Source organism: Homo sapiens, chromosome 3 (assembly GCF_000001405.40).
Source record: "Homo sapiens chromosome 3, GRCh38.p14 Primary Assembly".
Classification (NCBI taxonomy): domain Eukaryota; kingdom Metazoa; phylum Chordata; class Mammalia; order Primates; family Hominidae; genus Homo; species Homo sapiens.
In genome coordinates this window covers 195,923,250-195,948,546 of record NC_000003.12, presented here as the reverse complement: position 1 = coordinate 195,948,546, position 25,297 = coordinate 195,923,250, and the positions used below count along the sequence as shown (strand labels likewise).

General features: G+C 48.3%; 1 long non-coding RNA gene and 3 pseudogenes across 13 annotated transcripts in view, besides 5 other annotated features; 2 read left to right on the top strand and 2 right to left on the bottom strand.

The window, feature by feature from the left end:
* The window catches only part of LOC124906253 (keratinocyte proline-rich protein-like), a 41,447-nt gene that overhangs the window by 5,980 nt on the left and 10,170 nt on the right, over nucleotides 1-25,297 (top strand). For 7 of the 12 annotated variants that reach the window (NR_197452.1, NR_197456.1, NR_197455.1 and 4 more), the window contains 2 exons: nucleotides 1,068-1,212; nucleotides 9,809-11,957. The exons of 1 other annotated variant lie outside the window; for it this stretch is intronic. This is a non-coding gene — a long non-coding RNA (keratinocyte proline-rich protein-like). Of the gene's footprint in view, nucleotides 1-1,067; nucleotides 1,223-9,808; nucleotides 11,958-19,465; nucleotides 19,584-24,336; nucleotides 25,075-25,297 lie in introns of those variants that run through there. 4 more of the 12 variants (NR_197448.1, NR_197449.1, NR_197447.1 and 1 more) reach the window with 3 other exon arrangements.
* On the bottom strand, nucleotides 3,079-11,800 carry LOC124906254 (mucin-5AC-like; annotated as a pseudogene). The gene is made up of 5 exons (XR_007096250.1): nucleotides 11,626-11,800; nucleotides 8,154-9,182; nucleotides 7,558-7,722; nucleotides 6,752-6,858; nucleotides 3,079-3,140 (listed from the first exon to the last, which is right to left on the bottom strand). The product of XR_007096250.1 is annotated as a mucin-5AC-like, transcript variant X1 (transcript).
* Nucleotides 7,281-7,950: an enhancer, noted in NCBI's record as "H3K4me1 hESC enhancer chr3:195667468-195668137 (GRCh37/hg19 assembly coordinates)". NCBI's record gives its function as "activates a minimal SCP1, AML or CMV promoter by ChIP-STARR-seq in primed H9 embryonic stem cells {active_cell/tissue: H9 hESC(primed)}" and the evidence as "EXISTENCE:reporter gene assay evidence [ECO:0000049][PMID:30033119]".
* Nucleotides 7,951-8,621: an enhancer, noted in NCBI's record as "H3K4me1 hESC enhancer chr3:195666797-195667467 (GRCh37/hg19 assembly coordinates)". NCBI's record gives its function as "activates a minimal SCP1, AML or CMV promoter by ChIP-STARR-seq in primed H9 embryonic stem cells {active_cell/tissue: H9 hESC(primed)}" and the evidence as "EXISTENCE:reporter gene assay evidence [ECO:0000049][PMID:30033119]".
* On the bottom strand, nucleotides 11,191-11,531 carry LOC100133326 (serine/threonine-protein phosphatase 4 regulatory subunit 2-like; annotated as a pseudogene).
* Nucleotides 19,728-20,696: an enhancer, noted in NCBI's record as "OCT4-NANOG-H3K27ac-H3K4me1 hESC enhancer chr3:195654722-195655690 (GRCh37/hg19 assembly coordinates)". NCBI's record gives its function as "activates a minimal SCP1, AML or CMV promoter by ChIP-STARR-seq in primed H9 embryonic stem cells {active_cell/tissue: H9 hESC(primed)}" and the evidence as "EXISTENCE:reporter gene assay evidence [ECO:0000049][PMID:30033119]".
* Nucleotides 19,772-19,958, top strand: RNU2-11P (RNA, U2 small nuclear 11, pseudogene; annotated as a pseudogene).
* Nucleotides 20,697-21,665: an enhancer, noted in NCBI's record as "OCT4-NANOG-H3K27ac-H3K4me1 hESC enhancer chr3:195653753-195654721 (GRCh37/hg19 assembly coordinates)". NCBI's record gives its function as "activates a minimal SCP1, AML or CMV promoter by ChIP-STARR-seq in primed H9 embryonic stem cells {active_cell/tissue: H9 hESC(primed)}" and the evidence as "EXISTENCE:reporter gene assay evidence [ECO:0000049][PMID:30033119]".
* Nucleotides 21,666-22,634: an enhancer, noted in NCBI's record as "H3K27ac-H3K4me1 hESC enhancer chr3:195652784-195653752 (GRCh37/hg19 assembly coordinates)". NCBI's record gives its function as "activates a minimal SCP1, AML or CMV promoter by ChIP-STARR-seq in primed H9 embryonic stem cells {active_cell/tissue: H9 hESC(primed)}" and the evidence as "EXISTENCE:reporter gene assay evidence [ECO:0000049][PMID:30033119]".

Below are 25,297 nucleotides of genomic sequence, written 5' to 3'. Positions count from 1 at the left end.
TCCAGCCTGGGGGACAGTGAGACTCCATCTCAAAAAAAAAAACACAAAAAAAGAATAGAATAACTCTTGTTTAGGTGTTACAAAATCCAGGCCAGACCAATCTAAACTTTAATCTCATACCCAGTTCCTAGATGAGTCCCTTCTCCAGCTCAGGTTCCGCCTAAGCCTCAGGGTTCCTTACTTGGTGGGCACCACCTGCTCCCTTCCCCGCCTTTGTCCTCTTTTTCCTCTGCTGGCTCCTCCGGGGTTGGGTGTGTTCAGAGGCAGAGACAGGCTAAAGGTCTTTGTCCTTTAGGTTCTGTTGATGGGTGAGTTCCAGATATAGCTTTCTCTTGTAGGATATTTCATTTTTTTATCTATTAAAAATATTTATTTAGAACACACCATTCATGTGCCAGACCCTGTTCCAGGAACTGGGGAGAGGGTGATAAATGAGATCAACAAAAATACCTGCCCACATTAAGCTCCTGTTCTAGGGAAGACAAAAAAGAAAGAAAATACACGTGTCCTTAGTACATTAGAAGGTTCCAAGTACTGTAGAGAAAAATAAAGTAGGTTGGACTCGGTGGCTCATGCCTGTAATCCCAGCACTTTGCGAGGCTGAGGTGGGAGGATTACTTGAGCTCAGGAATTTGAGACCAGCCTGGGCAACATGGCAAATCCTGTCTCTACCAAAAAAAAAAAAAATTAGCTGGGTATGGTGGCGTGCACCTGTAGTCCCAGCCACTGGGGAGGCTGAGGAGGGAGAATTGCTTCAGCCCAGGAGGTGAAGGTTGCAGTAAGCTGAGATCGTGCCATTGCACTCCAGCCTGAGTGACACAGCCAGACCCTGTCTCAAAAACAAGGAAAGAAAGAAAATGAAAAAAAGAAAGCAGAGATGGGGCAAGCAGGGGAGAGGGTTGGTGCTGGGGTCACAGTGGAGGGGCTGGGGATGCACGGGAGGGGCTGGGGATGTGAGCTTTCCTGAGCTCCCACAGTTCTCTGCCCCTCTCCTGTCTCATGGCGCAAGGGCCCCCTGGGGCTTGCGGTGGTTTTGCGCCAAGCTAATATCTTGTTCTTCCCAACAGACGGAGGCCCATTGAGGCTTCTCTGTCCTCCACGGGGACCAGCATTGGGCTAAACCTGCAGACACCATTGCAAAGGGAATTCAGGCAAACCCGGTGGTGAAGAATGATTCCAGCGCGAGGACAGAGGCTGACATTTCTTGCCTGGGTGATTTAATGTTGCGCATCAATTTTTCACTCCCCCCGTAAGAGTATGACATAGCCACAACCTTGCCAGGGCCCGAGGGAGGGTGGATGGACTTATCCATCCCATAGGTGTTGCTCGTGGCTGGGTGACTTGCTTCTGCCAATGAGATTTTCACAGACACGGTACAAGCAGAAGCCTGGAATCTGTGGGCACTGCCAGGCCTGCCCTCTAAGGCTCTTGATTTTCCCCACGAGATGTGCGTGCTCCAGGGAACGGCGGCTCTGGCTGTGGGATGAGAGGCGTGTGGAGCAGGCATGGTTCCCATCCTTAGCCTGGAGTCAAGGCCAGACTAGATCAGCCTAAGCCCAGCCATGCCACAGGTGCAGTAGTGAAGAGCAAATGCTAACTGTCCATGGAATTGACTTTCAAAGGGGCGTGTCATGTGCCTCATCCCAGCAACAGGGAAGGCATTTCTCTATCAGTCAGTTGGTAAATGATTATTGACAAACAATGTGCTGGGAAGGTGGAGTGATTTGAGTAGATTTGGCCTCTATTCTCATGGAGCTTCCTTTCTAGAGGGGAAGACACATGATGGATGGATAAATATAAATGATTCTAATAGGTTGGTGCAGCAGTCATTAAAAGTAATGGCAAAAAAAAAAAAAAAAAAGAAACGGGGAGGAGCCATTGCTGCCGTTCATTAATAGTAATGGCAAAACCCGCGATGACTTGTGCGCCAACCTAACCCAGTAACCAGGGGTGTGCAAATGTGGCGATGGGCAAGTTCCGAGTGCTAGGAGAGCATCTAGCTTCCCGGAGTCAGGAGACGGGGGTTGGCAACCTAACCAAGGTTAAGTCCAAGTGAGGGGGGTGGGCAGGGAGCGATATTTCAGTGGAGACTCCAAGGATGAATGGTATTTAGAGAGTAAACCCCGATAGAGAGGGTGTGTGTCTGGCACAGAGAAGAGCCTGTGCAAAAGCTGGTGGGGCGAGAGGACACCGTGTGTTCATCCACCTGAGGGGCGACCAGCAGGCTGGAGCTCAGCGGGTTGAGAGGAGGATGCAGAGCCCGGGAAAGGCACCCTAGGCAGAGGGCACAGAAGTGCAAAGGCCTGGAGTCAGGCCTGAGCCTGTGTGGTTTGAGGAACGGACAGAGGCCTGTCCGTCAGGAAGGGAATGGCACAGGGGAGAGACCTTAGGCCACAGCAGAGGGCAGGGCAGAGGGCAGGGCCGTGCTGGGCACTGTGGGCTGTGGATGGTGCTGGCATTTAAGAGGGGAGACCATAGACCAGGGCAGAGGGCAGGGCCGTGCTGGGCACTTTGGGCTGTGGATGGGAGCTGGCATTTATGCTCAGGTGATGGGAATGTGTTAAAAGATTTTAAGGAGGGGAGTAACAGTTGGGATTAATGTGTATTCTGGGAATCTCAACAAAGTAAATTCATAGTTTGAATTTTCATAAGACTTCTGCACAGGCAGAGAGAAATAAGATCGTGTCTACAGCTGTGTGATGATTTTATTGAAAAACTACTAAGTTTTTAAACGTGATTTCAAATGGTGTGTTTCTGTTTCACATTGGACATAAGTAGATTGCAAGGCTAATGGAAAGTAGAAAAGTTAACTCATGAACATAAAAGAGGTATCGATTTGAAAACAAAACATTTATTCATTTACTTCCGCTGCAGATTTCTTGACTGCTGAATTTCATGAGAAGGGATTGTTCAGGGAGGGACGTGGGGCTGAAGACCTGGAGAGGAGGTGGTGCTACCGCTGTTCAAATCTGAGGGTGGTGGAGATGGAGCCTTGGGGAGGAGCAGGTGCTGCCTTTTAAGTCTATGAGATTCGTTGAGCTGGAGGTCCAGGGAGGAGCCGGTGCTCCCACTGATGTCTTAGGTTGTGGAGCTGAAGACAATGAAGGAGCCAGTGTGGCTGTTCTGTGAGACTCGTGGAGCTGGAGATCCAGGTGGGAGAGGTGTTTTAGCTCGGGGAAGAGCTGATATTCTACCTTGAGGGTCCTGCAGCTGCAGATCCGGGGAGGAGCTGATGTTCTAGTTTGAGTGTCATGCAGCTGCAGACCCGGAGAGGAGCTGATGTTGTAGTTTGAGTGTCATGCAGCTGCAGACCTGGAGAGGAGCTGATGTTCTAGATTGAGGGTCGTGCAGCTGCAGACCTGGAGAGGAGCTGATGTTCTAGATTGAGGGTCGTGCACCTGCAGACCCGGGGAGGAGCTGATGTTCTAGTTTGAGGGTCTCCCAGCTGCAGACCTGGAGAGGAGCTGATGTTCTAGATTGAGGGTCATGCAGCTGCAGACCCGGAGAGGAGCTGATGTTCTAGATTGAGGGTCATGCAGCTGCAGACCCGGAGAGGTGCTGATGTTCTAGATTGAGGGTCATGCAGCTGCAGACCCGGAGAGGAGCTGATGTTCTAGATTGAGGGTCGTGCACCTGCAGACTCGGGGAGGAGCTGATGTTCTAGATTGAGTGTCATGCAGCTGCAGACCCGGAGAGGAGCTGATGTTCTAGATTGAGGTTCGTGCACCTGCAGACCCGGGGAGGAGCTGATGTTCTAGTTTGAGGGTCTCCCAGGTGCAGACCTGGAGAGGAGCTGATGTTCTAGATTGAGGGTCATGCAGCTGCAGACCCGGAGAGGAGCTGATGTTCTAGATTGAGGGTCTCCCAGCTGCAGACCCGGAGAGGAGCTGATGTTCTAGATTGAGGGTCTTGCACCTGCAGACCCGGGGAGGAGCTGATGTTCTAGTTTGAGGGTCGTGCAGCTGAAGACCTGTAGAGGAGCTGATGTTCTAGTTTGAGGGTCTTGCAGCTGAAGACTTGGGGAGGAGCTGATGTTGTTCGCGTTGAGGGTCTTTCAGTTGGAGACTCAGGGAGGAGCTGATGTTCTAGAATTAGGGTCATAGAACTGGAGCCCTGGAGAGAAGGTAATGTTCTAGTTTTAGGTTCTTGCAGCTGCAGACCCGGAGAGGAGCTGATGTTCTAGATTGAGGGTCATGCAGCTGAAGACTCGGGGAGGAGCTGATGTTCTAGTTTGAGGATCTTGCAGCTGCAGACCTGTAGAGGAGCTGATGTTCTAGATTGAGGGTCGTGCAGCTGAAGACTTGGGGAGGAGCTTTAGTTGTTCGCATTGAGGGTCTTTCAGTTGGAGACTCAGGGAGGAGCTGATGTTCTAGATTTAGGGTCACGGAACTGGAGACCTGGACAGAAGTTGATGTTCTAGTTTGAGTGTCTAGCAGCTGCAGATCCGGAGAGGAGCTGATGTTCTCATTTGAGGGTCTTGCAACTGCAGACCTGTAGAGGAGCTGATGTTCTAGATTGAGGGTCGTGCAGCTGCAGACCTGTAGAGGAGCTGATGTTCTAGATTGAGGGTCCTGCAGCTGAAGACTCGGGGTGGAGCTGATGTTGTAGTTGGAGGGTCATGCAGTTGAGGACTTCGGGAGGAGCTGATGTTGTTCGCGTTGAGGGTCTTTCAGCTGGAGACTCAGGGAGGAGCTGACAATCTTGATTGAGGTTCACGGAGCTGGAGACCCGGACAGGAGCTGATGTTCTAGCTAGTGGATCTTCCAGCTGCAGACCCAGAGAGGAGCTGATGTTCTAATTTTAGGTTCTTGCAGCTGCAGACCTGGAGAGGAGCTGATGTTCTAGATAGAGGGTCATGCAGCTGAAGACTCGGGGAGGAGCTGATGTTGTAGTTTGAGGGTCATGCAGTTGAGGACTTCAGGAGGAGCTGATGTTGTTCGCGTTGAGGGTCTTTCAGCTGGGGACTCAGGGAGGAGCTGATAATCTTGATTGAGGGTCATGGAGCTGGAGACCCAGACAGGATTTGATGTTCTAGTTAGTGGATCTTCCAGCTGCAGACCCAGGGAGGAGCTGATGTTCTAGTTTGAGGGTCGTGCAGCTGAAGACCCGGGGAGGAGCTGATGTTCTAGATTGAGGGTCGTGGAGCTGCAGACCCGGAGAGGAGCTGATGTTCTAGTTTGAGGGTCATGCAGCTGGAGACCTGGAGAGGAGCTGATGTTCTAGTTTGAGGTTCTTGTAGCTGCAGACCTGGAGAGGAGCTGATGTTCTAGATTGAGAGTCGTGCAGCTGTACACCTGGAGAGGAGCCAATGTTCTAGATTGAGACTCGTGCAGCTGCACACTTGGAGAGGAGCTGATGTTCTAGATTGATGGTCTTGCAGCTGCAGACCTGGAGAGGAGCTGATGTTCTAGTTTGAGGATCTTGGAGCTGCAGAGCCGGAGAGGAGCTGATGTTCTACTTTGAGGGTCATGCAGCTGGAGACGTGGAGAGGAGCTGATGTTCTAGTTTGAGGGTCATGCAGGTGAAGACTCGGTGAGGAGCTGATGTTCTACATGGAGGGTCTTGCAGCTGCAGAACTGTAGGAGAACTGATGTTCTAGTTTGAGGGTCTTGCAGCTGCAGACCTGGAGAGGAGCTGATGTTCTAGTTTGAGGGTCTTGCAGCTGCAAACCTGGAGAGGAGCTGATGTTCTAGATTGAGGGTCATGCAGCTGAAGACTCGGGGAGGAGCTGATGTTCTAGATTAAGGGTCATGCAGCTGAAGACTCAGGGAGGAGCTGAGGTTCTAGTTTGAGGGTCATGCAGCTGAAGACTCGGGAGGAGCTGAGATTCTAGTTTGAGGGTCATGCAGCAGAAGGCTCAGGGAGGAGCTGATGTTCTAGATTGAGGGCCCTACAGCTGCACACCTGAAGAGGAGTTGATGTTCGAGATTGAGGGTCGTGCAGCTGAATACTCAGAGAGGAGCTGATGTTATAGTTTGAGGGCCCTACAGCTGAAGACCCGGAGAGTATCTGATCTTCGAGATTGAGGGTCGTGCAGCTGAAGACTCCAGGAGGAGCTAAGGTGGTAATTTGAGGGTCTTGCAGCTGCTGACTTGGGGAGGAGCTGATGTTCTAGTTTGAGGGCCCTACAGTTGGAAATCTGTACAGGAGCTGATGTTCTAGTTTGAGGGTCGTGCAGGTGAAGACTCGGGGAGGAGCTGATATTCTAGTTTGAGGGCCGTGCAGCTAGAGATGCAGACAGGAGCTGATGTTGTAGTTTGAGGGTCGTACAGCTGAAGATTCAGGGAGGAGCTGCTGATGTATTTTTAGGGTCATGGAGCTGCAGACCCGGAGAGGAGCTGATGTTAAAGATTGAGGGTCATGCAGCTGAAGACTCTGGGAGGAGCTGACGTTCTAATTTGAGTTCCCTACAGGTGGACACCCAGAGAGGAGCTTATGTTCTAGATGAGGGTCATACAGCAGAAGACTCGGGGAAGAGCTGAGGTTGTAGTTTGAGGGTCGTGCAGCTGGAGAACCAGACAGGAGCTGATGTTGTAGATTGAGCGTCGTGCAGCTGAAGACTCGGGGAGGAGCTGATGTTGTTTGTTTTGAGGGTCTTTCAGCTGGAGACTCAGGGAGGAGCTGACGTTCTAGATTGAGGGTCTTGCAGCTGCAGACCCGGAGAGGAACTGATGTTCTAGATTGAGGGTCACGCAGCTGAAGACTTGGGGAGAAGCTGATGTTCTAACTTGAGGGTCGTGCAGCTGAGGACTCGGGGAGGAGCTGATGTTGACGGCTGTGCAGGTGGAGATCCGGCGGGGAGCTGATGTTCTGGTTTGAGGGCCGGGGAGCTGATGTTCCAGTTTGATGGCCGTGCACCTGGAGACCCAGGGAGGAACATCAAACTGGAACATCTGCTCCCCGCAGTGCCTCCAGCTGCATGGCTCCCAAACTGGAACATTGGTTCCCACCCGGGTCTCCAGCTGCACGGCCCTCAAACTGCAACATCGGCTACCCCCGAGTCTCCAGCTGCGCGGCCCTCAAACTGGAACATCAGCTCCCCACCGGGTCTCCAGCTTCACGGCCCTCAAACTGGAACTTCAGCTCCCCACCGGGTCTCCAGCTTCACGGCCCTCAAACTGGAACTTCAGCTCCCCACCGGGTATCCAGCTGCACGGCCCTCAGACTGGAACTTCAGCTCCCCACCGGGTATCCAGCGGCACGGCCCTCAGACTGGAACATCAGCTCCCCGCCGGGTCTCCAGCTGCACGGCCCTCAAACTGGAACTTCAGCTCCCCACCGGGTCTCCAGCTTCACGGCCCTCAAACTGGAACTTCAGCTCCCCACCGGGTATCCAGCTGCATGGCCCTCAGACTGGAACTTCAGCTCCCCACCAGGTCTCCAGCTGCACGGCCCTCAGACTGGAACATCAGCTCCCCGCCGGGTCTCCAGCTGCACGGCCCTCAAACTGGAATAGTTTGAACCCAGTGGGGATCTGATGTTCCAGTTTGAGGGCTGTGCAGCTGGAGACCCGGCAGGGAGCTGATGTTCCGGTTGTAGGGCTGTGCAGCTGGAGACCCGGGGGGAAGCTGATGGTCCAGTTGTAGGGCCGTGCTGCTGGAGACCCAAGGGTGGAGCTGATGTTCCAGTTTGAGGGCCGTGCAGTTGATGACCCGGCGGGGAGCTGATGTCCAAGTTTGAGGTCTGTGCAGCTGGAGACCCGCGGGGGAGCTGATGTTCCAGTTTGATGGCCATGCAGCTGGAGACTCTGATGGGAGCTGATGTTGCAATTTGAGGGCCATGCAGCTGGAGACCTGGCGGGGAGGTGATGTTCCAGTTTGAGGGCCATGCAGCTGGTGACCTGGCAGGGAGCTGATGTTCCAGTTTGAGGCCCGTGCTCCTGGAGACCTAGCGGGGAGCTGATGTTCCAATTTGAGGGCCGTGCACCTGGAGACCTGGCGGGGAGCTGATGTTCCAGTTTGAGGGCTGTGCAGCTGGATACCCAGCAGGGAGCTGATGTTGCAGTTTGAGGGCCGTGCACCTGGAGACCCGGCGGGAAGCTGATGTTCCAGTTTGAGGGCCGTGCAGCTGGAGACCTGGCGGGGAACTGATGTTCCAGTTTGAGGGCCGTGCATCTGGAGACCTGGGCGGGGAGCTAATGTTCCAGTTTAAGGCCATGCAGCTGTATACCCGGTGGGGAGTTGATGTTCCAGTTTGAGGGCCGTGCATCTGGAGACCCGGTGAGGAGCCAGTGTTGCAGTTTGAGGGCCGTGGAGCTGGAGACCCGGCGGGGAGCTGATGTTCCAGGTTGACGCGGTGTAGCTGGAGACCCGGGGGGAACTGATGTTGCAGTTTGAGGGCCGTGCATCTGGAGACCTGGTGGGGAGCCAGTGTTGCAGGTTGAGGACCGTGCAGCTGGAGACCCTGTGGGGAGCTGATGTTCCTGTTTGAGAGCCGTGCAGCTGGAGACCCTGTGGGGAGCAGATGTTCCTGTTTGAGAGCCGTGCAGCTGGAGACCCGGTGGGGAGCTGATGTTGCAAGTTGAGGGCTGTGCACCTGGAGCCCCGGGGTGGAGCTGATATTCCAGTTTGAGGGTCGTGCAGCTGGCGATCTGGTGGGGAGCTGATGTTCCAGTTTGAGGGCCATGCAGCTGGGGACCCGGCAGGGAGCTCATGTTCCAGTTTGCAGGCAGTGCACCTGGAGACCCGGCGGGGAGCTGATGTTCCAGTTTGAGGTCCGTGCAGCTGGAGATCTGGTGGGGGAGCTGATGTTCCAGTTTGAGGGCCCTGCAGCTGGAGACCCATGGGGATCTGATGTTCCAGTTTGAGGGTGGTGCTGCTGGCGACCCAGGCGGGAGCTGATGTTCTAGTTTTAGGGACCTACAGCTGGAGACCCGGGGAGGAGCTGATGTTCCCTTTCGAGGGCTGTGCAGGTGGAGACCTGGGGAGGAACTGATGTTGTTCTAATTTGAGTGTGGTGCAGCTGGAGATCCAGGGATGAGATGGCCCTGCGGTTCAAATATGAGGGTCCCGGAGCTGGACTCTACGTGAGGAACCAATGCTGCCTCTGATGTCTTAGGTTGTGGAGCTGGAAACTCGCGGAGGAGCTGGTATTGGTGTTTCTAGTTGAGGGTTGTGGTATTTCCAGGGTTTCACAAAGGCCAGATTTTATTTCAGTTACTCAGAAGAGAAAGAAAATGTCTTCTGAAAGAGGTGAATTCAATCATTACCAATAGAAAAAGTATCCACTGTATTTATCTCTTATACCAACAGAAAAATATAACATTTTCCCCCTTAGAATAATATATACATATATATAAAACTTAAGGTTCTATTGTATGTAGCCGAACAATACAATCTGGAAACCAGCATGAAACTCTATTATTCACATGTTAAAATGTTGAAACTATGACCAAAATATGAAAACTGCTAGAGCTATCAGAAAGACACAAGACAAAAAGCTTCTTGCATATGTATAAACTAAATGTGATAATCTCAAAAAACTGTTCAAAATTATAATTACTTTCCAGTTTAAAGACTTCAGTCCTAAATTAAAAAAAAAACTTCTATATACAAACCACTGATTTGCCCAGACCAAAAAAAGAAAGAAAGAAAGAAAGAGAAATCAGCGGTAAGGTAAGCAGGACCCAGAGGAGCTGATATTCACAGTTCTTACATGGACAACTCTTTCAGGAATTATCCATAAAGTACTTTATTTTACAACCTGCTTTTCTTGTAAAACTAAAGGTGCACGTTTTTACATAAAAGTTTTACACAGTGTTAAAACCAGAACTGTGTGTAAAATACTGCATGTATATGTTTCTAAATAGTCTTGTTCCAGTGGTTCATCGGTGACTTCTGTGGCTTCGTCATCATTTTCCATGGATGATTCTGAAAGAATCTCTCCAGTTTTACTGGAATTGGATCCTACTAATTCTTCTGTTTCACGGCAGTCAGAAGAACCACTACTTTCAGGGCCTTCGTTTTCACTACCTTCAGAATGTAGTAAATCTTTCTCAGCTTGAGACACATCAGATTCCTCCATTTCATTATTTTCCTCAGAAGTCTCTTCATTCACAGTTGAGGCATCATCAGATTCTTTTTCTTGTTTATTTCTTTCTGGGATCATTTCTCTTGATGTCATAAAAGACTCTAAAACTAAGCAAATGTTGTTGTACTTAAATTTTGTTTTCAAAATACCTCCACAGTTAAGTTTCATGAATTCTGATGCTCTGTAGTTCAAATCACATCCCCTGAAATTCAGCAGCAACTGCATACAGGTGGGAGAAAAGCCCAGCGTCGGCATTACAAGGAGTTCCATGACGTACAGTTCTTTCACGAAAACAATGAATGCAAGAATTTGAGGATCTCCTTACTCCTCCCTTTTACAGATGGTCTCTCAGTCCCTTCTTCTTCCTCTTCATCTTCTTCATCCTCTTCTGAACACGCTGCCGGGTACCACAGCTTTCTTTGTCTTTATCATGAGATGAAGGTGATGCTTCTGTTTCTTCTACCATAACTGAAGAAATTTCGCTGCAAGTCTCTTGACTGGCTGTTTCTCCGACTTCGCCTTTTTGTCAAACCTGAGTCTTTTTACCTCATACCCCTCAGCTTCCACAGCATCTTCATCTGGATGTTTATTTCTCAAAGGGCTCACTGAGGAAACTTCTGATTCAGATGTCGAAGAGTCACTGTGAGTTTTCTCTTCATTTTGCTGCAAATTTGCCTCTTTGCTGTCTGTGCTCTCAGGCCACCCATTTGTTGTCATGGGGCTGACAGAGAAACCTTTGGTCGATTACGTGGCCTGGGTGTCCCAGGCCCATTTATATTAGACCTCTCAGTATAGCTTGGTGCATTTCCAGGAAACATCACACCATTCATTCGATTTAAACTATTGGAATTGTTTTTCTCTGAAGAAGGATAAACACAGCTAACAACCATCACGTTCTTTTCTACTCCTCTGAGAAATTTGTCTGTTCCTGTATAGTTTCTCCTTGGATCTGTTAACAATTCACATAATCGCTGAATAGTAAAAGGGATACGGTTAAATCCAGTGACAGTTTTCAGTATTCTTCCCTTTGTTTCATCAAAGGGAATATATTCGACTTTAGGGTTGGGAGGACCTCTTGGCGCAGGAGCTGAAGTTCTGAAATCATCCATCACTTTCTCCAGTTTGAAAATAAAATAGCCTTTAAATTGGGACCACTGAATCTGTTTCTCCAGTCTTGGCTACATGACAAAAGGAACTGATCCAGGACAGGACAGACTTTCTTTTTTGCCTCTTCTCAAAATCTTCCAGCGCCTCCTGGAGCCTGTCGACGTCCATGGCTTCCCGGAGTCCCTCACAGCCTCCGCCTCCCTCCGCGGGTCTCTTGGGGACCGGAACGCCTCCCCCCACCCCCCGACGTCCTCCCACTCCCTCGCACACCCTCCAGCACGCAGGCCAAGTGGGGTGGGGGGGAACGAAGGGAGCCGGGGAAGCGTGTGAGAGAGTGAGACCGACAGAGTGAGCACCTCCCCAAGCCGCTACCACCAGCCCTCCAACATGGCGCCTGGCACATCACCCTAAAAAGTCATTTCTTGGAGAAGCGATGGATGACAGAGATTAATCTGAGAGTTACTATTAATGGAGAAACTTAGAACTTACCATTTTTCCTGTGAGGTTTCGGTGCTGATACTTCTATTCTGTGAGTTCTGGCAATTGTGTCCGTTCACCCAGCCTGGTGATGCAGCAGGTGTCACAGAAGGACCCTGTCCCAGCTGGTCCTGCTCCACTGCTAGGATGGTGTGCCCTCTGATCTGTGACCGTGTCTTGAGGGGAGACCAGGCCCTTGATCACAAGCGTATCCATGGTGAGGTTCCGTGGATGGAAGCTCATGGATGTTCCTTCCTGATGTTCATCTGCCACCTTGCTATTGAATGCATCCTGTTTATAACTGTCTTCTAAATATTGAATAGAAATAAAGCGTTTTTACAGTATGGGTAAGGTATAAAGAATATTGACACATTGGACACAGAGGACCTCCACCAAGTTTAGGGAGTAGAATCTGAAGAGACATAACTTTGGATGCTCCCTGGAGGCCCTGCCTGAGTCCCAGTCCCTTCCCTTCTCCTACGGAGGGAATCACTTCTTGCTTTAGTCTTTATTATTTGCACACTTTCCTTCATAGTACATTTCTTTCACCGTGTGTGTACATCCCTAAAAAATAAGCCATTTAGTTTTTGAACTTTCTGTTTTCTTTCTGAGGCAGGGTCTTGCTCTGTTGCCTCGGCTGTAGTTTTGAACTTTGACGTGAGGGAATTCTCCTGCATGGCTGCTCCTACACTGCATGGCTCTGAGCACCTGCTCTGTGTCTATTTTTGTCCTCCATTCTCTCCCTGAGACCCACCCACACTGACATGGCTCATTTTCATTGCTGCATGGTCTCCCGTCGTCTGAGGGGAGCATGGGAAATGTCTTCATCTTCCCGTGGATGAGTGTTTGGCCAGGTTGGGGCCCTTAGGACTGTGTTTTGTTGGGAACGTTCTTGGGCATTTCTTTTGTACACAAGCGCAAGTTTCTTCTGGTCAGTAGCTTTCAAGTTTTAAAATTTCATCCCAGGTAAGAAATGTAATTTTCCTCATAACCCACAACACACACTCTTTCATATACAAGCATAGCAGAAATATACTTCACAAGCGTTAGCAGTGCCTGGTGTTCCTGCTTCTCACCATTCTCCCCAACGCTGGCATGGATTGGGTTGTGAGATTTTTGCCCGTCTGGTGAGTGTCACGTGATATCTCCCCCGTTAGGCTGAGCCCCTCTTCATGTTTTCATTAGCCGTTCCTCCACATTTCCTCTTCTGTGGAGGGCCGGTTCAGCTCTTTTGCCCAGTTTCTGTTAAGTTGTTTGAATTTTTGCACTTTTCCTTTATTATTCCTATTATTATGTTTTTGAGACAGAGTCTCACTCTGTCACCCAGGCTGGAGTGCAGTGGCGTGATCTCAGCTCACTGCAACCTCCACCTTCTGGGTCAAGTGATTCTCCTGCCTCAGCCTCCTGAGTAGCTGGGATTACAGATGGGTGCCACCACACCCGACTAATTTTTGTATTTTTACTAGTGATGGGTTTTCACCATGTTGGCCAGGCTGGTCTGAAACTCCTGACCTCAGAATATTTTCCCTGGATATACTATTCTGGGATGAAAGTTTTTTTTCCTTCAGTTCTTTAAATATGCCATGCCCCTCTCTCCTGGCTTATAATGTTTCCACTGAAAAGTCTGCTCCAAGATATACGGGAGCTCCTTATATGTTATTTGTTTCTTTTCTCCTTCTGCCTTCAGAATTTTTTCTTCATCCTTGACTTTTGGGAGTTTGATTATTAAATACCTTTGGTTTAAATCTACTTGGTGTTCTACAATCTTCTTGCATTTGAATATTGATATAGTTCTCTAGGTTTGGGAAGCTGTTACTATCTCTTTGAACAGATTTTCTATGCTGATCTCTCTCTCTACCTCCTCTAATGCTTAGATTTGTTCTTTTGAGGCTATTTTCTAGATCTTGTAGGTGTGCTTCATTGTTTTTATTTTATTTCTTGCTTTATAGTTTTTTATTCTTTTTTCTTTTGTCTTCTCTGACTGTGTGTTTTCAAATAGCCTGTCTTCAACCTCACTAATTCTTTCTTCTGCTTGATCTGTTCTGCTGGTAAGAGATCTCATGCATTCTTCAGTATGTCAATGATATTTTTCAGGTCGAGAATTTCTGCTCGGTTTTAAAAAATTATTTCAATCTCTTTGTGAAATATATTTGATACGATTCTGAATTCCTTCTCTGTGTTGTCTTGAGTTTCCCTGAGCTTCCTCTAAACAGCCATTTTGAGCGTTTTCTCTGAAAGTTCACATGTCCATCACTCTGAGATTGGTCACTCCTGCCTTCTTTAGTTCATCTTGTGAGGTCATGTTTTCCTGGATGCTCTTGATGCTTGTGGATGTTGGTCAATGCCTGGGCATTAAAGAATTAGTTATTTATTGTAATCTCCACAGTCTGTGCTTGTGTGTACCCATCTGTCTTTGTTTGTTTCTTTTTTCTGAGACAGAGTCCCACTCTGCCACTCAGGCTGGAGTGCAATGGCATGATGATGGCTCATTGCAGCCTCAGCCTCCTGGGCTCAAGCGATCCTCTCACCTCAGCCTCCCGCGTAGCTGGGACTACAGGCACATGCCACCATGTCCAGCTGATTTTTGTATTTTTTGTAGACACAGGGTCTCAGTGTGCTGCTCAGGCTGGTCTTGATCTCATGGATTCAAGTGATCCTCCCTCCTCGGCTTCCCAAAGTGCTGGAATTATAGGCATGAGCCACCAAGTCTGAGCTGCTTCTTCTTCTTCTCTTTTTCCTCTTCTTCTTCTTCTTCTTCTTCTTCTTCTCCTTCTCCTTCTCCTTCCTCTTTCTTCCTCCTCCTCCTTATTCTTATTCTTTTTTGACGGAGTTCCACTCTTGTTGCCCAGGCTGGAGTGCAGTGGTGCAATCTCAGCTCACTGCAACCTCCACCTCCCGGGTTCAAGTGGTTCTCCTGCCTCAGCCTCCTGAGTAGCTGGGATTACAGGCATGCACCACCACACCTGGCTTATTTTGTATTTTTAGTAGAGATGGGGTTTCTCCATGTTGGTCAGGCTGGTCTCGAACTCCCGACTTCAGGTGATCCACCCACCTCAGCCTCCCAAAGTGCTGGGATTACAGGCATGAGCCACCGCACCCGGCCTCCCGTCCTTCTTGAGAAAGCTTTCCCGGTATTCAAAGGGAACTGAGGGTTGTGACCTAAGTCTTTTGTCACTGCAGTCACATCTGCATTAGAGGCACCTCAAGCCCAGTAACACTATGACTCTTGCAGACTCATAGAGGGACCACCTTGGTGGTCTTAAGTAAGATCTGGGAGAATTCCCTGGATTACCAGGCAGAGCCTCTTGTTCTTTTCCTTCACTTTACCCCAAACAAATGGAGTCTTTCTCTCCATGCTGAGCTGTCTGGAGTTAGGGGAGGGGCGACACAAGCACTCCTGTGGCCACCAGCACTGGGACTGTAGCAGGATGAGCTACAGACAAAACCCCTCAGACACCGGGTTAAAGAAGGAAGAGGCTTTATTCGGCCGGGAGCGTCGGCAGACTTGCATCTCAAGAACGAAGCTCCTAGAAGAAAGAGTTCCTGGCCCTTTTAAGGGCTTACAACTCTAAGGGGTCCACATGAAAGGGTTGTGATAGATTGAGATCTATAGAGAGCACATCTGGTTAGAGTCGGGGGTTAATCTTTAACCTCAGGCCTGGTCATCAGTGCGCCGGCTGGTCTTGCCACTGACTTCATTCCTGTTGTTTTTCAGCTTTTACTTCCTCCTTCTCTTCAGAGACAGGAGACAGTAAGAGAAATGACCTCTCTCCTCAGGACCATGCTGGGTCAGACCTGAAGCCAGCCCAGCGCTGGGTCTCTCCCACAGCCTGCGGCAACTATGGCTTCACTCCCACTGATGTTTAGGGCCCAAGTACTCTTTGGTGAGCAGGAGGTGAATGCAGCCAGGCTTGTCTTGTTCCTTTCAGGGTGGCAGGTTCCCTTCTGGCCCAGGGTGGGTCTAGAAATCAGGGTGAATCTCGAAATGCTTTCCGGGAGCTAGGGCCCAGAATTGGGAATTTTTGGAATCTACTTGGTGCTTGATTTTACTGTGGGTGTGCTGACCCCCGAGTTAAACACAGCGTCGTTTTCACTCTTCCCTCTCCTTTCCCCAAGCAGGAGTCTTCTCCCCATGGCCGCTACCACCCCAGGCCCGTGGCAAGAACTGCTTGGTGACCGCTGATGTTTCTTCAAGCCCCAGGGGCTCTTTAGTCAGCAGGTGGCAAATGCAGCCAGGCTTGTGTCTTTCTTTTCAGGGCGGCAGATTCCCTTCCAGCCCAGAGCAGGTGCAGAAATGCCATCCAGGAACTAAGGCTGGGAATCTGGGACTTCAGGAATCTGCTTGCTGCTTTATTTACTATGGCTGAGCTGGTACCTCCAGTGCAAGACAAAGTCCTCTTTACTCTTCTCTCCCTTTTTCTCAAGGAGAAGGAGCCTCTTTCTGTGGCCATCACAGCTGGAGATGTGCTGGGTCACACTTAAAGCCAGTAAGGCTCTGAGTCTCCCCCAAGGCCTGTGGTGAGTGCTGCCTGCCTGGCTACTGCTGATATTTATTTAAGGCCCAAGGGCTATTTAGTCGGGAGGTGAAGAAGGCTGCCAGGACAGACCCTTTCCTTCCAGGCAGCAGGTTTCCTTTTGGCCCAGTATGTGCCTAGAAATGTTGTCCAGTAGCTGGGGCCTAGAACAGGGGAGCTTCAGGACTCTGCTTGGTGAGTTATTTTACTGTGGCTGAGCTGGTACCCAAGTGGCAAGACAAAGTCCTCTTTATCCTCCTCCCTCCTCTCATCCAGTAGAAGGAGGGAGTCTCTCCCAGTGCTGTGAGCTGCGCAGCCTGGGGGTGGGTGAGGGTTGACACAAGCACTCCCTGGGCTGCCCCCGCTGGTGTCTCACTAGGTCATGTGCACCCCAAGTCCACTGGCTCCAGGGTATTTCCAGGAATTGCAGTCCCTGTGGCCTAGGCTGCCTTTCAAGTTTATTTAGGATCCCAGAGCTCTTTAGCCAGCAGTGCGTGGCTTGCTAGAATTCAGGTTCACACCACTGAGATTGAGGATTTGTCTTTGCTAGGGCTGGTTTAAATGCTGTGTCTGTGAGTGCTGCCCTGTGTTGTTTTCCACTGTGACTGGGCAGCACCGAGTGGCAATGCAAAGTCCTATCATCACTGTGCTCTGCCTCTCCCAGCTCACGGATTCTCTCTCCCTGCCGTGCAAAGTCCCATCATCACTGTGCTCTACCTCCCCCAGCACACGGATTCTCTCTCCCTGCCATGCAAAGTCCCATCATCACTGTGCTCTACCTCCCCCAGCACACGGATTCTCTCTCCCTGCCATGCAAAGTCCCATCATCACTGTGCTCTGCCTCCCCCAGCACACGGATTCTCTCTCCGTGCCGTGCAAAGTCCCATCATCACTGTGCTCTACCTCCCCCAGCTCACGGATTCTCTCTCCATGCCGTGGGACTGCTGCCATGGGGTAGGAGATGGGTGATGTTAGCATTTCAAGATCGTCTTTCCTGTCCTCTTCAGTGCTTTTCTTGAGATGATATGAAAACCAGATACTGCAGTTGTTCATCTGATTTTCGGTTCTTATGCAGGTTTTTTCTCAACTTGAGAGTTTTCGGTTTAGTGGTCCTGGGCAGGGGTGGGGTGGGGGTGGGTGGGGCCGGGGGTTGGGTGGGGTGGGGGGTGATTGCTGGAGGGCCCTACTTGAGCATCTTGCTCCACTTTCCTCTCACCACCTTTTCAACATTGTTGGGAAAGCCCTAGCCAATGTGATAAGATTAGAAAAAGAAAGAAAAGCTATAATGATCAGAAACAGTTAGAATTGGACCAGGTGCCGTGGCTCACGCCTGTAATCCCAGCACTTTGGGAGGCCAAGGCGGGGGGATCATTGAAGTCAGGAGTTTGAGACTAGCCCGGCCAACACGGTGAAACCCCGTCTCTACTAAAATTACAAAAATTAGCCAGGCTTGGTGGTGGGCACCTGTAATCCCAGCTACTCAGGAGGCTGAGGCAGCAGAATCACTGGAACACAGGAGGCAGAGGTTGCAGTGAGCCAAGATTGTGCCACTGCACTCCAGCCTGGGTGACAAAGGGAGACTCTGTCTCAATAATTAATTAATTAATTAATTAAACGCAGCCATGAAAAAGAATGGGTTCATGTCCTTTGCAGGGACATGGGTGAAGCTGGAACCCATCATTCTCAGCAAACTAACACAGGAGCAGAAAACCAAACACTGCGTGTTCTCACTCCTAAGTGGGAGTTGAACAATATGGACACAAGGAGGGGAACATCACACACTGGGGCCTGTCGGGGGTTGGGGGCAAGGGGAAGGAGAGCATTAGGACAAATACCTCATGCATGCAGGGCTTAAAACCTCGATGATGGGTTGGTAGGTGCAGCAAACCACCATGGCACGTGTCTACCTATGTAACACACCTGCACGCTCTGCACATGTGTCCCAGAACTTAAAGTAAAATTTTTTTAAAAAAGAAATAAGTACAGTTATCTTTATTTGCAAAGTTTATGATTGCTCCTGTATAATAGCCCAAGAAATTTACAAAAACTTCTAGAATGAATAAATGAATTTGTCAGGGTCACGGGATACAAGATTGCTATATTAAAATGATTTGTATTCTTGGTTGGGAGCCGTGGCTCATGCCTGTAATCCCAGAACTTTGGGAGACAGAGGCAGGAAGAATGCCTGAGCTCACAAGTTTAAGACCAGCCTGAACAATGTGGCAAAGCCCTGTCTCTACAAAAAAATAAATAAATAAAATCATTTGTATTATGTAACGGCATCAAATAATTATTAAAAATTAATTTACAATAGTGCTAAAGAACATGGAATGCTTAGGAAAAAACTTAACAAAAGATGTTAAAATTTTTAATGCTGAAAACTACAAAATGTTGCTGAGAGAAATTAAAGATTTCAATTAATATACCACATTTCTGAATTGGCAAAAATATATCTCATGAATTGGAAGATTCAGTATGATTGTCTTAATCTGTTTGGGCTGCTACAGCAATATAGGTGGCTTAAACAGCAAACATTTATTTCTCATGTTCTGGAGGCTGGTAAGTGTAAGATTGAGGCAGCAGATTTGGTATCTGGTGAGGACTGGCTTTCCTGTTCATAGACAGCTGTCTTCTTATTGTGTCCTCACATGGCAGAGGGAGGGAGGCAGCTCTCTAAGGTCTCTGTTGTAAGGACACGAATCCCATTTATGTGGGATCTATCCTCATGGCCTTATCATCTCCCAAAGTCCCCTTGTCCAAATACCACCACACTGGGTATCAGGTTTCAACATGTAAATCTGGGAGGCGGGCAAAGACATTCAATCAATAGCAATTGTTAAGATGTCAAATTTTCCCAAATTGATCTATAGAGTTAACACAACTCCATACAAAATTCAAGGCTTTTTTACATAAATTGACAACGTGATACTAAGAGTTATATGGAAATATGGAGGGCCTAGAGAAGCTTTTATTTTTTGAGATGGAGTCTTGCTTTGTCGCCCAGGCTGGAGTGCAGTGGCGTGATCCCAGCTCACTGCAACCTGTGCCTCCTGGGTTCAAGGGATTCTCCCACCTCAGCCTCCCCAGTAGCTGGGATAACAGGTGCCTGCCACCACGCCTGGCTAATTTTTGTATTGTTAGTAGAAACAGGGTTTTGCCATGTTGGCCAGGCTGTTCTTGAACTCCTGACATCAGGTGATCCACCCACCTCAGCCTCCCAAAGTGCTGGGATTAAAGGCATGAGCCACTGCGCTTGGTTACAATTTTTTATTTTATTTTATTTTGTATTGTTTGTTTATTTATTTATTTTTGAGATGGAGTCTTTCTCTGTTGCCCAGGCTGGAGTGCAGTGACATAATCTCAGCTCACAGGAACCTCCGCCTCCCAGGTTCAAATGATTCTCCTGCCTCAGCCTCCCAAGTAGCTGGAATTACGGGCGTCTGACACCACACTCAGGTAATTTTTGTATGTTTAGTAGAGACGGGGTTTTGCCACATTGGCTAGGCTGGCCTTGAACTCCTGGCCTCAAGTGATCTGCCCGCCTGAACCTCCCAAAGTGCTGAGATTACAGGTGTGAGCCACCGTGCCCGGCCAGAAACAGTTGTGTTTTTTTTTTTTTTTTTTTTCTTTTTTAAAGAAGAACAATTCTTTCTCAGCCTTTCGGCAAAGATTAAGTGTAGTCTATATTATTAGTTTAGTATTTGATATGTCCTCTATCTGAGGACAATATATTAAATGGGCGTCTAGAGCAAGAAAATAGAATAGGAGCTTGTTCTGTCCATTCCACTCATTAATCTGATGTTGCGGTATCTGGTGCCTGGAGAAGGAGATGGAGAAGTAGGAGCAGAAGAAGGAGAAGGAAGGAAAGAAGAAGAACAAAGCTAGAGGTATTACCCTACCTGATTTCAAAGCTTATAAACTCTCAGGTGTGGGGAAAAGCAAGAGAGATCAGATTGTTACTGTGTCTGTGTAGAAAGAAGTAGACATAGGAGACTCCATTTTGTTATGTACTAAGAAAAATTCTTCTGCCTTGAGATTCTGTTAATCTATGACCTTACCCCCAACCCCGTGCTCTCTGAAACATGTGCTGTGTCAACTCAGAGTTGAATGGATTAAGGGCGGTGCAAGATGTGCTTTGTTAAACAGATGCTTGAAGGCAGCATGCTCCTTAAGAGTCATCACCACTCCCTAATCTCAAGTACCCAGGGACACAAAAACTGCGGAAGGCCGCAGGGACCTCTGCCTAGGAAAGCCAGGTATTGTCCAAGGTTTCTCCCCATGTGATAGTCTGAAATATGGCCTCGTGGGAAGGGAAAGACCTGACCGTCCCCCAGCCCGACACCCGTAAAGGGTCTGTGCTGAGGAGGATTAGTAAAAGAGGAAGGAATGCCTCTTGCAGTTGAGACAAGAGGAAGGCATCTGTCTCCTGCCTGTCCCTGGGCAATGGAATGTCTCGGTATAAAACCCGATTGTATGCTCCATCTACTGAGATAGGGAAAAACCGCCTTAGGGCTGGAGGTGGGACCTGCGGGCAGCAATACTGCTTTGTAAAGCACTGAGATGTTTATGTGTATGCATATCCAAAAGCACAGCACTTAATCCTTTACATTGTCTATGATGCCAAGACCTTTGTTCACGTGTTTGTCTGCTGACCCTCTCCCCACAATTGTCTTGTGACCCTGACACATCCCCCTCTTTGAGAAACACCCACGGATGATCAATAAATACTAAGGGAACTCAGAGGCTGGCGGGATCCTCCATATGCTGAACGCTGGTTCCCCGGGTCCCCTTATTTCTTTCTCTACACTTTGTCTCTGTGTCTTTTTCTTTTCCAAATCTCTCGTCCCACCTTACGAGAAACACCCACAGGTGTGTAGGGGCAACCCACCCCTACATCAGGAACCAAGACAGTTTGGTACAGGCAAACAAATAGATGTATAGGCTGGGTGCGGTGGCTCACGCCTGTAATCCCAGCACTTCCGGAGGCCAAGACGGGTGGATCACCTGAGGTCAGGAGTTCAAGACCAGTCTGGCCAACATGGTAAAACAAAAATACAAAACAAAATACAAAAATTAGCTGGGCGTGGTGGCTCGCACCTGTAGTCCCAGCTATTCGGAAGGCTGAGACAGGAGAATCACTTGACCCTGGGAGGTGGAGGTTGCAGTGAACCGAGGTCACACCGCTGCCCTCAAGCCTGGGCGAAAGAGCAAGACTCCATCTCAAAAATAAAAATAAAAATAAAAAAATAGATATATAGATTGACATAACAGAGTCCAGGTACAAACCCATTCATATATGGCCAATCGATTTTTGACAAATGTGCCATGGCAATTCAATGGGGAAAGATAAGTTTTTGTAACAAATGGTGCTGGATCAACTGGATATCTATAGGGGCAAAAAAGTAAACATTGACCCTTACCCCATACCATCCACAAAAACTAACTCAAAAAGGCATAGACCTGGCCGGGCGCGGTGGCTCACGCCTGTAATCCCAGCACTTTGGGAGGCCGAGGCGGGCGGATCACGAGGTCAGGAGATCGAGACCATCCTGGCTAACACGGTGAAACCCCGTCTCTACTAAAAATACAAAAAATTAGCCGGGCGTGGTAGCGGGCGCCTGTAGTCCCAGCTACTCGGGAGGCTGAGGCAGGAGAATGGCGTGAACCTGGGAGGCGGAGCTTGCAGTGAGCCGAGATCGCGCCACTGCACTCCAGCCTGGGCGACAGAGCGAGACTCCGTCTCAAAAAAAAAAAAAAAAAAAAAAAGGCATAGACCTACATGTAAAATCTAAAATTATGAAATTTCCATTAAAAACACATAGGAGAAAATCTTTAGGGTAGGCAAAACTTTCTTAGGTAGAATACAAAAAAAAAGAAAAGGTTAGACTTCGGCCGGGTGCGGTGGCTCACACCTGTAATCCCAGCACTTTGGGAGGCTGAGGTGGGCGGATCATGAGGTCAGGAGATCGAGACCATCCTGGCTAACACTGCAAAACCCCGTCTCCACTAAAAATACAAAAAATTAGCTGGGCGTGGTGGCAGGCGTCTGTAGTCCCATCTACTGAGGAGGCTGAGGCAGGAGAATGGCGTGAACCCAGGAGGCGGAGGTTGCAGTGAACCGAGATCACACCACTGCACTCCAGCCTGGGCGGCAGAGCGAGACTCTGTCTCAGAAAAAAAAAAAAAAAAAGAAAGAAAGAAAAGGTTAGACTTCATCAAAATGAAAAACTTGCTTTTCAAAAGGTACTATTTAAAAAATGAAAAGGCAAACCACAGATGGGAAGAAAATATTTGCAAATCATATATCTAATAATGTAGATCCAGAATAGGTAAAGATCTCTTATAACTCAATAATAAGACAAGCAAAATTTTTTAAATTTTTAAAATATTTGAATAAAGACTTAAAAGCTGCACAAATGGGCACTAAGTGCATGGAAGACGTTCAACGTCGTTAGTGGTCAGGGAGATGCAAGTGAAGCCACAGCGAGATGCCGCTATGTGCTCGTTAAAAGGGCCAGAATTTAAGAGACAGACTATACTAAGTATTAGTGAGGATGTTGAGCCACTGGAATTTTGCATGCTACTGATGGGAATATAAACTGTTGCTACTACTTTAGAATACAATTTGGTAGTTTCCTTAAAAGTTAAATAAATACCCAATATGTGACCAGCTATGCTATGTCTAGGGCTATCCGTGAGAAGCAAAAACTTGCATCCACACAAACGCTTGTGCTCAGAGGTTCATGGAAGCTTTATTTGCAATAGCTCAAAAGTGGGAACAATGAACTAATTTAGAAACAGAAAGTCATGAGGCGGGCAGGTCACTTAAGGTCAGGAGTTCAAGACCAGCCTGGCCAACATGGCAAAACCCCGTCCCTACAAAAAATAAAAAAATGATCCGGGTGTGGTGGTGTGCACCTGTAATCTCAGCTACTCAGGAAGCTGAGGCGAGAGGATCGCTTGAATCCGGGAGGCAGAGGTTGCAGGGAGGCGGAGGTTGCAGTGAGCCGAGATTGCACCACTGCACTCCACCCTGGGTGACAGAGTGAGACTCAGTCAAAGAAAAGAAGAAAGAGAGAGAGAAGAGGAAGAAGAAAGAAGAAGATGAGGAGGAGGAAGAGAGGAAGGGCAGGAGGGTGGGAGGGTGGGAGGGAGGGAGTGCAATACTGCATGTTCTCACTTATAAGTGAGAGCTAAACAGTGGGTACATATGGTCATACAGATGGAGTGACAGACTCTGGAGACCCCAAAAGATGAGAGGGTGGGAGGCTGGTGAGGGCTGGAAAACCACCTTTTGGGTAAAATGTTCATTATTCAGGTGATGGGAGCACTACAGCCCAGATGTCACCACTATGGAATGTGTGCACGTAAGAAGCCTACACTTGTACCCTCTAAATATATATATTTTAAAAAGTGGAAACAACCCAGATAGCTATCAGAATGTATTATAGCTATACAATAGACTACTACTTAGCTATGAAAATGAACTATTGGTTCCATTTATATAAAATTCTTGAAAATGCAAATTAATTGATAGTGACAGAAAATCGCTGGTTGCCTGGTGACAGGTAGTGGCACTGGAGGATGTGAGCAGTGGTGGAAGGGAGAGATGCCCAAGATGCACAAAGAAACTTTTGTAGGTGATGGACATGTGATAGTGGGGATGGGATGGTGTCACAGTGTGCACCCCTCTCGAATCCATCAAGTTATCTATTTTAAATTGTGTAGTGCAGTGCACATCAATTATACCTCAATAAAATAGTAAAATTAAAAGTGTACATATACACCATAGCATCTTGCTTTGTTCACTTAATTACAGATCTTGACTGATTCATATCTAGACGAATAAATCTATTCTTTAAAAATACTGGATATTAGACATTCCATAGATATGCGGTATCTTTTTACAAATCATTCCCCTTTTAAAGAACGTCTAAGTAGGTTGAACTATTTTGCTACTGCATGTTATGTTTAACAGAGTACCTATGATTTGTGTGTGTGCGTGTGTATGTTTCTATCTATTTATCTATCTTTGTGCACAAGTAGGGGGTTTTTCCATAGGACAAATACCTAGAAATAGAATTTCTTAGATCAAATGGCTTATGCATTTAGAATTTTGTTAGGTAACTTTTAGGTTGACCCCCAAAGATGTTGGACCAACTTATACTCCCATCAGCAAAGTATGAATAGATTTCCGTTTCTTCCCCAGGCTCATCAATGCACCGTGTGGCCAAACAGAACAGAAGCTTGTTTTTCATTCACGCTACCTCCTCCTCTCAGAGCTGGCAGGAGTTCTTGTCCACATTGTTAAGCGGGGTCATTGATGACTGAACTTCCCACATTTTGTGACAGCAGCATCTAGAATATGCAGCACTCTCCATCATCATGAGAGAAAAAGAGATTGGAGAATCACCCAGAGCTCTTTATTGCCTCAGCCAAATAAGTGACACATGTCATGTCTCACGATTCATTGGCCAGAACTAGTCCCGTGGCCCTGTCTGACTGCAAGGGAGCTGGACAACGTGAAGGAGCAGGTGGAATATTGGATATTTAAATACCACTGCTTTAGTACAGTGGTTAAGAGTAAAGTATTTGAAGTTATAAGGAGGTTGGTTCAAAAAATAATGACTTTGCAGACAGGCGCGGTGGCTCACGCCTGTAATCCCAGCACTTTGGGAGGCTGAGGCAGGCAGATCCCTTGAGGCCAGGAGTTCAAGACCAGCCTGGCCAACATGGTGAAACCCCATCTCTACTATAAAAACCAAAAAAAATTAATCGGTTGTGGTGGCACATGCCTATAGTCCCAGCTACTCGGGAGGCTGAGTCAGGAGAATCGTTTGAACCTGGGAGGCAGAGGTTGCAGTGAGCTGAGATGGCGCCACTACACTCCAGCCTGAGTGACAGAGTGAGATTCTGTCAAAATAAAAAAAAAAGACTTTGCCATCAACTCGTGGTGTGTCCTTGGGCAACTTACTTAGGTTCTCATGGTTTCTTCTGTCTTTTTTGAGACAGGGTCTCACTCTGTCACCCAGGAGGAGTGCAGTGGCACGATCACAACTCACTGCAGCCTCCACCTCCCAGGCTCAAGCAATCCTCCTACCTCAGCCTCCTGAGAGCTAGGACTACAGGAATGCACCTCCACACCTGGCTAATTTTCTTTTTTATAGAGA